This window comes from Homo sapiens, chromosome 2 (genome assembly GCF_000001405.40).
Source record: "Homo sapiens chromosome 2, GRCh38.p14 Primary Assembly".
Lineage (NCBI taxonomy): Eukaryota > Metazoa > Chordata > Mammalia > Primates > Hominidae > Homo > Homo sapiens.
Genome location: NC_000002.12, coordinates 28908435 through 28920884, shown reverse-complemented (window position 1 = coordinate 28920884; position 12450 = coordinate 28908435). Strand labels below are relative to the sequence as shown.

At 40.0% G+C, this 12450-nt stretch overlaps 1 protein-coding gene and 1 non-coding gene across 2 annotated transcripts in view; both read right to left on the bottom strand.

Annotated features, from left to right (window-relative positions):
- The window catches only part of WDR43 (WD repeat domain 43), a 53553-nt gene that overhangs the window by 27335 nt on the left and 13768 nt on the right, over window positions 1-12450 (bottom strand). Inside the window, exons 4-6 of the mRNA NM_015131.3 lie at window positions 8175-8295; window positions 6677-6816; window positions 2890-2992 (exon numbers count right to left, since the gene is read on the bottom strand). Coding sequence (NP_055946.1) covers window positions 2890-2992; window positions 6677-6816; window positions 8175-8295 — 364 coding nt within the window. The remainder of the gene's footprint in view (window positions 1-2889; window positions 2993-6676; window positions 6817-8174; window positions 8296-12450) is intronic.
- Window positions 7135-7223, bottom strand: SNORD92 (small nucleolar RNA, C/D box 92). Its single transcript, NR_003074.1, has one exon. It is a non-coding gene; the product is annotated as a small nucleolar RNA, C/D box 92 (small nucleolar RNA).

Genomic DNA, 12450 nt, shown 5'->3' with positions numbered 1-12450 from the left:
GCCAACATGGTGAAACCCCATCTCTGCTAAAAATACAAAAATTAGCCGGGCGTGATGGTGCGTGCCTGTAGTACCAGCTACCCAGGAGGCTGAGACAGAAGAAATGCTCGAACCTGGGAGGCAGAGTTTGCAGTGAGCTGAGATCACACCACTGCACTCCAGCCTGGCTGACAGAGGGAGACTGTCTCAAAAACAAAAACAAACAAAAAAAATCCCTCAGTCTATTCTCTACATAGACTAGTGGCAAGTTTTGCTACTCCAAGGAAAGTGATTTTTCTTCCATAAATTACTTGTATTTAGACTTAAAGAACCTACCTCTAAAAATCGCACACACACAAATAAAGGTTTAAAACTTTTGGTTGAGTGGGGTGGCTTATGCCTGTAATCCTAGCACTTTGGGAGGCCAAGGTGGGCAGATCACTTGAGGTCAGGAGTTCAAGACCAGCCTTCCCAACATGGCAAAACCCCATCTCTACTAGAAAAACACAAAAATTAGCCAGGCGTGGTGATATGCACCTGTAATCCCAGCTACTTGGGATATTGAGGCAGAAGGATCATTTGAACCTGGGAAGCAGAGATTGCAGTGAGCTGAGATCGCACCACTACACTCCAGCCTGGGTGACAGAGCAAGACTCTGTCTCAAAAAAAAAAAAAAAAAAAGAAAGAAAAAAAATTTATTTTTATTTTTTCAGAAAGTCACTTCAAGTTAAATCAATCTCTTTATTTTACAGTCACAGGGGGCCAGGCACGGTGGCTCACACCTGTAATTACAGCACTTTGGGAGGCCGAGACAGGCGGATCACTCAAGACTCAAGGCCAGGAGTTTGAAACCAGGCTGGCCAACATGGCAAAACCCTGTCTCTACTAAAGTACAAAAATTCGCCAGGCATGGTAGCGCAGTCTATAATTCCAGCTACCAGGGAGGCTGAGGCAAGAGAACTGCTTGAACCCAGGGGACAGAAGTTGCAGTGAGCCAAGACTGCACCACTGCACTCCAGCCTGGGCGACAGAGACTCTGTCTCCAAAAAAAATAAAATAAAATAAAAATAAAGTTATAGGGGAAAATACCAAAATGTTTCTCATCAGTTCCCTACGATCAGAATATCCAATTATCAGAATAGTGAGGGCACTGATCACACTGAATGTACACAAGCATGTCCAACTTTATAATAACATTAAATCATTATTGTAATTAAGTGTAGGATTCCTACTAGTTTGTTTTTTTTTTTGAGACGGAGTCTCGCTCTGTCACCCAGGCTGGAGTGCAGTGGCACTATCTCGGCTCACTGCAAGCTCCACCTCCCAGGTTCACGGCATTCTCCTGCCTCAGCCTCCCGAGTAGCTGGGACTACAGGCGCCCGCCACCAGCCCCGGCTAATTTTTTGTATTTTTAGTAGAGACAGGGTTTCACCGTGGTCTCGATCTCCTGACCTCATGATCCACCTGCCTCGGCCTCCCAAAGTGCTGGGATTACAGGTGTGAGCCACAGCGCCCAGCCCCTACTACTTTTCTTAAAGACAAAAATCTTTATAGGGAATCACTGATCTGATCATCAATGGCCCCCATTTCATATTAGAAAGCCAAGTTTATTAGCAACAGAAGCTATATGTATTTATTTACTTATTTACTGAGACGGGGTCTCACTGTCACCCAGGCTGGAATGCAGTGGCAGGATCATAGCTCACTACAGCTTCGACCTCCCAGGCTCAGGCAATCTTCCCACCACAGCCTCCCAAGTATGTGGGACCACCAGTGCATGCCACCATGCACAGCTAACTTTTTTATTTTTTGTAGAGACAGGGTCTCACTATGTTGTCCAGGCAGGTCCTGAACTCCTGGGCTCAAGTTATCCACCACACCCAGCCAGAAACATTAAACCAAAATTTTTTTTGTTTTAAACCAATGCTTTTTCCCCTGAAACACTTTTTTAAAGTATTAAAACATGATGATCATCTCTAAATCCTAGAGGTTAATGCAAAATATGCATTTCAAAACTAAATTGAGTTAAAAGTGAATATCCTTAACTTGCATTAGAAACGTGGGATTCTGTGCAAATCAAAATCCTGCAAAGCTTCAGTTAAACAGAAACAGCAAGCACTTCAATGACAACAGGTTTAATCCTTTAATCATCGAATCCCTAATTTTTACATGAAAAATTCTTTTTTTATAGGCAGCAAACAAGAGGACATCACTCTTATAAAATACATACATATATAGGCTGGGCATGGTGGCTCACACCTGTAATCCCAGCACTTTGGGAGGCTGAGGTGGGCGGATCACCTGAGGTGGGGAGTTCGAGACCAGCCTGACCAAAATGGAGAAACCCCATCTCTACTAAAAAATACAAAATTAGCCAGGCATGGTGGCACATGCCTGTAATCCCAGCTACTCGGGAGGCTGAGGCAGGAGAGTTGCTTGAACCCGGGAGGCAGAGGTCGTGGTTAGTCGCGACCGTGCCATTGCACTCCAGCCTGGGCAACAAGAGCGAAACTCCGTCTCAAAAAAATGAAAAAAGAAAAAAAGAGATAAAAAAAGAAATACACACACACACACACACACACACCTTAGTTAGGAGCTATCACCAACAATTTCATCTGATTAAAGAATCATATATACATACTCCTAGTAACAAAATCCACCTGAACAACTTTTCTTAATTCACATAATGAATTCCTGAATTTACTACCGTCCTGTACAAACTTTTCCCTTCCCCCATAAGAGATTATTACAGTGATTTAAGTTCCTTTGAACAGTCTAAAATTTGTTACAGTTTGTTGTTACTCCCTCAGGTCCTCTCTATTTCTCAAGTCATTAAATCATCAAAACCTTGACTGTAAAAATAACATCTGTGAAACCCAAAAACAAATTCTCAAAAATCGAGCCATTTACCTCTTCTTTGTTTTCTGACAAAGTTAAGTCAATATAGACAGGTTCATCGGTAACTGTAAATGACATCACTGCACTCTTTTCTTTGTTTTCTGATCGGACCTGCCTAGATAACAAAACCAGCAAGTTAGATAGCAAGACAGATTTAATTTTCTTCCTAAAAAGGCAAACACCTAAGGAGGCATGGAGATCAGCACATGAGATTCCCAATAGCTTTGTCATCTTTTGAAAACTAGTAAAGTGACTAAAGATCAAAACAACGGAAGCATCCATGTCACTACCATATAACATGGTTGCTTGAGAAAAGAGAAAGCAATAATGCATTTGTGGCAGATTTAAACAATGAGTAACATTCTGTTTTTTTCTATTGATCTGTCTGTCTATCCTGACACTAATACCACACTGTCATGATTAGTGCCGCTTGATAATAGGTCTTGAAATCAATCTTAGTCTTCCAATGATTTTCTTCTTTTTCAAAATGATTTTGCCTATTGTCATTTGTTATTTCCATTTGAATTTTAGAATCAGTCTGTCAATTTCTCAAAAAAAGCCTAAGATTTTGAATGCGTCTGCGTTGAATCTGTAGGTCAATTTGGGGAGAATTAACATTATAACGGTATTGAGTAAAGAGCACAGAAACAGACCTATATATACACACATATGCAGTTGATTGTCATTATTCATGGATTCCTTATTTGCAAAGTCATCTTTTGCAAAATTTTATTTGTAACCTCAAAATCACTGTAACAATTTTATGCTCCTTCAGGGGTGTAGACTAGCGAAAAATCTGAGTTGCCTAACACATTCAATGTCTTCAGCTAAGGTAGCTACATTCTGCCTTCCCGTTGCCGTTCTCATACTATCAACAAGTAGTTCACCTAGCACCATGTTTTTTGCATTTTTGTGCTTTCTTGGAGATTTCACTAATTACAACGGCCCCCAAGCATAATTCTGAAGTGCTCTATGGTGTTCCTAAGCACAAGAAGACTGGGATGTGCCTTACAGTGAAAATATGTGTTAAATAAGCTTCACTCAGACATGAGTTGTAGTGCTCTGAATTCAAAGTTAATCAATCAAAAACATATGCATTAAATAAGATATCTTTAAATAGAAACAAACATAAAACAAGGTTTTATATATTAATGACAAAAATGTTACAAGCTGGCTACCTTTACAATATAAATAATATAAACAAAAAAATAAATAGATGAAAAAAATGTTACAACTGGAGGCTCATGGGAACCTAAGCTATTTCCCCAAGGAGTAATGTTATTGACTAAATCAGTGTTCATGGGGACTTTATAGGACTTAACAATTATAAATAACGAGAACCGATATAGGGATAAGCGTGTGGGTGCAGGGATGTGTGGGTGTGTGTAGGTGTTCGGGGTTATAGGGGGAGAGGTATATGCAAAACCAAGTCAGCAGAGATAATCTTTTCAACAAATGATACTGGGATCCCTGGATATCCATAATGCAAAAACATGAATCTTAACATCCCAGCCATTAGAGAAAGCCAATTTAACAACACAAAATACCACTACCCACCTATTAGAATGGCTAAAATTAAATGCTATACCAAGTGTTGATGAGGATGTGAAGGAATTTTCATTTTTATACACTGCTGGTAAAAATGCAAAATGCTACAACCATCTTGAAAAAAAAATCTGGCAATGTCTTGAAAAGCTAAACGTACACCTATCATGATCCAGCCATTACACTCCTAGGTATTTACCCAAAAGAAATGAAATCACATGTCCATATAAAGACTTGTACACAAAAAATGTCCATAGCAATTGTATTTGTAATGGCCCAAAACCTGTCAACAAGTCTCTGAGAGATTACAAGAAGACATGAGGAAACACATTCATTATCTTGTTTGTGGTGAGGGTTTCACAATGTATATGTATGTTACAACTCATCAGTTTGTACACTCTGGTATGTGCAGTTCATTACATGTCAACTATACTTCAATATAGCTGTTTTTAAAATTTAGGTACAAATTTTAAAAAATAATACTTAACAAACATGATTTACAAACATGATTCAAATCAGCTTCTTTGGAGTTCAGAAGAAAATTAAGAGTTGATCTGATAAATTATAAATGTTTTCATGCAAAAATTCTTAGTAACATTCATTCTAACATGAAGTCATTCATGTATGCTCAAAATCTCTGCCATCAGACCACTGCACAGTATCTTAACCAATCAATAGAAGATAGTACTGGGGTTTGATTTATCTTTTAATCTTCATTCAGCAAGAAGCCTTCGAATGTTATATCCACAGAAATGTGTCTTTCAAAGGAAATTATCAGGGAACTTTAGGCCCGCTCTACCTATCCCCATGCAAATTTACACAGCTCATTGGGCAGCTTTTCAATATGGGTTTTAACATTTTCCTTTTGTGTGTGTGGTTAATTTTAAGTTTACTTCCTTTATTCCAGGAAGCACCCACATATAATAGACACTATTCAGGTTCTTAAGATTAACATAAAGCAACTTTTATTTTATTTAATGAAATTTTGTAGCTGGAGACTCCTAGGTATGAGGAAGCCTAAGCGGTAAAACATTTGAGATTGAAGCAACTCAATAATGCCAGGGGACCCTGGTAGTAGATTTTAATTTTTTAGCACTACTGATTTCTTATGTAATTGTTAGACCCTCTAAAACTAAAAGAATTTATCTCCATTGGCTCTTCTCAAAAATCAAACACGAAACAAAACCAAATCCGTTTAATTACAAGAGACATAATTAGGAATTATGGTTTTGCTGGTGGTTTTGAAGGTAAACAGAGGCCCACATTTTGACTTCTGACCCCCACACAACTACCTTTTTAAGGAATACATATTGGATGAGTCCCACTTCTAAATGAGTATTATCTTGTATAAATTCATAGTAACTTTATATGGTGAAGAGCATGCTCAACTAATTATTACTAAGATGAGAACTGTCCATAAACAGCAAGGTGGTTTTTTTTTCAAGCCAACTTCACCATCAGATGCTGCAATAAAATCCAGGAAATTTCTTTAAAAACTTTTTGATGACTTTGTATCACCAAATTTTTTATTTTTTGAGATGGAGTTTCGCTCTGTCGCCAGGCTAGAGTGCAGTGGCGGGATCTCGGCTCACTGCAACCTCCGCCTCCTGAGTCCAAGCAATTCTCCTGCCTCAGCCTCCCGAGTAGCTGGGACTACAGGCGTGCGCCACCATGCCCGGCTAATTTTTGTATTTTTAGTAGAGACAGGGTTTCACCATGTTGGCCAGGATGATCTCGATCTCTTCACCTCGTGATCCGCCCGCCTCGGCCTCCCAAAGTGCTGGGATGACAGGCATGAGCCACGGCACCCGGCCTGATTTTTACTTTTAAAAGAGGTTTCAAAGGGAACTAGTTAATAGCAGCTACTGCAAAAAGGAGTTACTGGAAATTCTGAGACAGCCAAGCAATTTTATGCCCTCCATAAACAGACACTACTGCATTAACCCAGTGGTGCCATATATTTCAAAATCAAAGGTCTTTCTAAATTTTTTAAAAGATATTCTAAATTGCCCAACCACAGAAATGTTCAGTCCACTGTATCACTAAACAACCACAGGAGGCTTTAATACATAATGCACTTAATTTTTTCTCAGAAAGATCTGTTTTGTAGGCAGGCTCAATTTTTTATTATGACTCAATGTAAATCCAACATTAGATACAACAAATAAAGTCCCATATTCATAATTTACATTAACTACATAAGCTCTGACAGATTCTTTCAATGCTACCTCCCAAATCCAAAAGAACTACATACCAGACATTAAGTAACCGGTCATGTACTGCTCCAGATAAGAAATAAAGACCTGTAATTCCATCAAAGGGCTGGCTCTCATTAGGAGGTCTGATGGTAGTGAACATCAGTGACGAAACTGGCGTTGCATGTCCTGTGAAATGCTAGAGAAAGTTAAATCTCAGTTAGGAGAGCAGATTCAAAGCAGGGACAAAAATTAATAGTATATATTATCAAAACAAGCCATATGTGATACATATCGGAAAGGAGAGCTCCACGATGAAGTAACTGTTCAATTCAATTCTAAGCAAATAAGGTTATTTGTGCTATAATTCTCCCACTTTTTAAAAAAATCCATCTGAAAATACTGAAAATTTAGATGTTCCTTCTAACTCCCATGACCCTACCACTCCGCACCTTTGTTTCTTACATTCTTGAATTAAAGATTCACTTAATTCTATCCATTTTAAAAGGCATACTTTGGGTGCTCAGACACAGCCAAGGAATTGTAGGTCCTCATTTTACTCTCAGTGAGTCGAAACCACAATATTAAGGCATCATCACAGCACCAAATATTCCGTAAGCCCTGAGTGAAAGCTTTTTCCTCCTCCAAAAATATAATACTAAATCTCCACAGTCAAATACAGTAAGTGGACTAAATGCTGGATGTAGGCTAGAAATCAAAATTACCATAATCATCACATAGTAAAAACTTTTTTATTAAGAAAATCTTTTTTGAGCTAGGCCTGGTGGCAAGCGCCTATACTCCCAGCTACTCAGGAGGCTGAGGTGAGACATCGCTTGAGCCTGGGAGGTCAAGGCTGCAATGAGCTATGATGGCGTCACTGCAGTCCAGCCTGGGCGACAGAGAGAGACCCTGTGTCAAAATCTGTTTTGTTTTTTAAAAGGTAACTTTCTTTTTTGTGGATACATAGTTGGTGTATATAATAAAATTTAAATTTTAAAAAAACCTTGTTTCGGCTGGGCGCGGTGGCTCACGCCTGTAATCCCAACACTTTGGGAGGCCGAGGCAGGCAGATCACGAGGCCAGGAGATCGAGACCATCATAGCTAACACGGTGAAACCCTGTCTCTACTAAAAAATACAAAAAATTAGCCACGCGTGGTGGCGGGCGCCTGTAGTCCCAGCTACTCGGGAGGCTGAGGCAGGAGAATGGCGGTGAACCTGGGAGGCGGAGCTTGCAGTGAGCCGAGATCACGCCACTGCACTCCAGCCTGGGTGACAGAGTGAGACTCCATCTCAAAAAAAAAAAAAAAAAAAAAAATCTTGTTTCTTGAATATTGGTTCTGTTCATTTTTCCAATACGTTTGAAGTAGACATGTCTAGTCTCTTTAACATCAACAAATCAGATTAGGAGGCTAACTTTTATCCACTAAACTATTTGATGTACCTGACAATGAAGAATTTGTATTCTTAAAATAATATCTTATGGTTCAAACTTCTGCCTTTCTCTGTGTTTACTCTATAATTTTTATGCTTACAAATAATTTGATTCGCTCACCCTGTAGACTTCTTTGGTCTCCAAAACCCATAGTTTGATTGTTCGACCAGCTGAAAGCAACATCTTTCCATCTGGGCTGATACATAGGGAACTGACACTGCTATTGTCGCCTTTCCATTTGCTATATTGTGAAGAGAAAAAAAAGCATCTCAATACATGAGAGAAAACTTTACTCAGAGCAGAAAATAACAAAAAAACAAACTGAACAATCATTAAAAATATCGCCTCAGGTCCTGTGACAATTACATTCCCTAAAAGCTTGTGTCAGGTAACTAACCCTGGACATACTACTGTGATAAAAGCTTCATTGATTGCATTCCTTAACACAGCACAATCTCCCTTTGGCAGGCATGGGATAAAGATTCTCAACAAGTATCAGAAAATGAGTGAGTGAGAGTGATAAGAATGTAAAATGGGTAGTTGTACATCCTGTGACCCAGGAGATGAACTTTGCGAATGTCCAGGAAAGTTCCATACTGGCTAGACCTCCCCAAGCCCATCCTAACCCTACCTCAATTCTCGCTTTCTCTGGAAGGCTGGCCTTTAATTAATTCCCTTAATAACACAAACGATTTCTCTAAAGTTGCAACCCAAAAAGGTTATTTCTACCCTAAATCCACATGAATGTACCCCAATCTGACAGGTAAAAATTAATTAGGTACAAATGACTCCTTTTCACTACCTCAAATATGATTAGAAGCTGGAGTCTTTGCTGTTTGTTACTCATATTAATGCTGTCATAGGCAATAGGGAACTTGGCTATTCACTTATAAGAAGTAACAGCAGGGGCAGGGCATGGTGGCTCATGCCTCTAATCCCAGCACTTTGGGAGATTGAGGTGGGCAGATCGCCTGAGTCCAGGAGTTCGAGACCAGTCTGGGCAATACAGCGAGACCCTGACTCTACAAAAACTACAAAAATTAGCCAGGCATGGTGTAGTAGTCCCAGCTACTCTGGAGGCTGAGATGGTAGGATCGCTTGAGCCCAGGAGGCAGAGACTGCAATGAGCCAAGATCGCACCACTGCACTCCAGCCTGGGTGACAGAGCAAGACTCTGTCTCCAAAAAAAAAAGGCAAGTAACAGTAGGAACCTGAATAACAAAAGAGGTTATTAAGAGGCTGGGCGCGGTGGCTCATGCCTGTAATCCCAGCACTTTGGGAAGCCGAGGTGGGCGGATCACAAGGTCAGGAGATCGAGACCATCCTGGCTAACATGGTGAAACCCTGTCTCTACTAAAAATTCAAAAAAATTAGCCAGGCATGATGGAGGACGCCTATAGTCCCAGCTACTCAGGAGGCTGAGGCAGGAGAATGGCGTGAACCTGGGAGGCGGAGCTTGCAGTGAGCTGAGATTGCACCACTGTACTCCAGCCTGGGCAACAGAGCAAGACTCCGTCTCAAAAAAAAAAAAAGAGGTTATTAAGTGGAAGAAAACGTATGGTTCTGCCAGTCAACAATGGAGTAAGTCAAATCAGTCATTAGAAAAACAAAATTAGATTCCTACATTATGCCACACATGCAAAAAAATTAACTGATTAAATTTAAAAGTATTTAAACAGGGTATGAGAATGTTTTTATAATCCTGGGGTTAAGAAAGGTCTTCCACAGCAATTACAAACCAGAAATTATAAAGAAAAAAAAAAAGACCTGATTTAATTACATAAAACTTCTGCTCCACAAATAAGTCATAAAATTAAAATATAAGTAAAAAGTGGCCAGGCGCAGTGGCTCACATCTGTAATCCCAGCACTTTGGGAGGCCAAGGCAGGTGCATCACTTGAGGCCAGGAGTTCAAGACCAGCCTGAACAACATGGTGAAACCTTGTCTCTACTAAAAATACAAAAATTAGCCAGGGCTGGTGGCAAACACTTGCAATCCCAGGTACTCGGGAGGCTGAGACAGGAGGATTGCTTGAACCCCGGAGGCAGAGTTTACAGTGAGCTGAGACACCACTGCTGCACTCCACCTGGGTGACGGAGTGAGACCCTATCTCAAAAAAAATAAAAATAATAATTATATATATATATATATTTACACACACACACGCACGTTATCTGTATATATATGTAAAAAGCTAGAAAAAAGTATCAAAAATATATATTACAAAGGATTAATACTCACAATACACAAATAGCTCCTTCATATCAATAAGAAAAAGAGCTCAAAATAAAAACAGACAAAGGATATAAACAACTAAACAGGCAATTCATAGGAAAAATACAAATTGTTGATAAACACGAAATTCAACCTCACTGATAATCAAAGAAATGCAGCTATAATGTACGAGAGAACTTTTCCTTTACCCTTACCAGCTTCTGAAATTTTTGCCAATTTATCGATTCCCACAGCTTCAATTCTCATTTACATTCAATATTCAACATATACTTACTACGTTGATACATATATAAAAGACACAATCGCCATCCTGCCTAGACGAGGCTGATAAGCTTCCTTCATCTACTTCCCCACTCAGTATTGAAAATGCTAGTTAGGCTAATAATACCTTCTATCCTCCCCACACCCTAATCCCTCAGGAGCTTTGTAACTCAAAGCATAAATCAGCATGATCTGGGAACTTGTGAGAATTATGCACTCTCAAGCTCTAACCTAGTTACACCTACTAAATCAGATCTGTATGCACAAGTTAAGATGTATGTACATTTAAGCCTTAAGAAGCACTAGATGAAAAAATTCCTCTCTGGGAAATGTAACTGGTTCCAGTGGAATGATATACACATATTGGCATTTGACGGCTTCCCAATCACTCTATAAATGAAGCACAACAATTGAAAAGTCACACACTCACAACCAAGCCTTCCAATCAATACTTTTTCCCCCAAACAGGGTCTCACTGTGTTGCCCAGGCAGAGTGCAGTGGCAAGGTAACAGCTTGCTGCAGCCTCGATCTCCTGAGCTCAAGTGACCCTCCTGCCCCAGCCTCTCAGGTGGCTGGGACTACAGGTACACACCACCACATCTGGCTAATTTTTTTCATTTTTGTAGAGAGGGGGTTCTCACTATGTTTCCCAGGACAGTCTCGAACTCCTAAGCTCAAGCAATCCTTCCACCTCAGCCTTCCAAAGTGCTGAGATTTTAGGCATAAGCCACCACGCCCAGCCACCAATCAGCTTTTTAATGCTTTGTTTCCAAATAGCAACAGGCAGCTCAGGATCTCCAGTGATTTGAAGGATGCCTTAAACATAAAAGAGGCCAAATCAAACAAATCAAAACACACTCACAATAGACAGGATGTAAGGAACAAAAGAAGATAATTCATGGCTAGGCATGGTAGCTCACACCTGTAATCCCAGCACTTTGGGAGGCCGAGGCGGGTGGATCACCTGAGGTCAGGAGTTCGAGACCAGCCTGACCAACATGCTGAAACCTCTACTAAAAATAAAAAATTAGCCAGGCATGGTGGCAGGTGCCCATAATCCCAGCTACTCGGGAAGCTGAGGCAGAAGAATCGCTTGATTCCGGGAGGCAGAGGTTGCAGTGAGCTGAGATCGCGCCATTGCAATCCAGGCTGGGCAACAAGAGCGAAACTCCATCTCAAGAAAAAGAAAGAAAAGAAAAAAAATCTCGGGATAATCATCATTCAGCAGAACTTACAAGACAGAGAAGTTTTCCAAGAAATGAATAAAATTGACTGACTGATGTGTCCAGAAACAACTGAGAAGATTTATACCACTAATAGAGAATGACCTAGTAACTAATGAAATGAAAACCAAGCAATTATAAACCCCAAGAAAAGCAAAATTTTGTACAAAAAAAAATATTAAACATAGGAAAGTCTAAGGCTCAGCTGTAACAATAATTAACTAGTCATAATGTAAACAAATTCTGCTTATCAAACACTGTGATACAACAATATTGAGAGAACTGGAAGGGGGAAAAGAAGGTAAGAGCTAAATCCTCATCTTCCACAACAGAAAATCAATACATAGCGTCTGGAACAGAAAACAAAATCCAAGTAACGGCAGCGTAAGAATGCTAACGATGAAGCTGGAAACATAATGAAATTATGAGACAACACAGTTTAGTGTATGAGAGGTCAGGCTCTTGTTTAATCTACTTCAAAACAGCAAAGTGGGGCTAAAGTTCACCTCACAGGCTTATGATTACATACAATAAAACGCACACGTGTTGAATGGCTCTTTGAACATTACTAGTCCCTATGTGAAGGACCTATCTTTGTGACCTCTCATCCAGAATACAGTAACACAGGCCCTACCCCAGACCTACTGGATCAGAACCTCTGCAGGCATTTCTAAC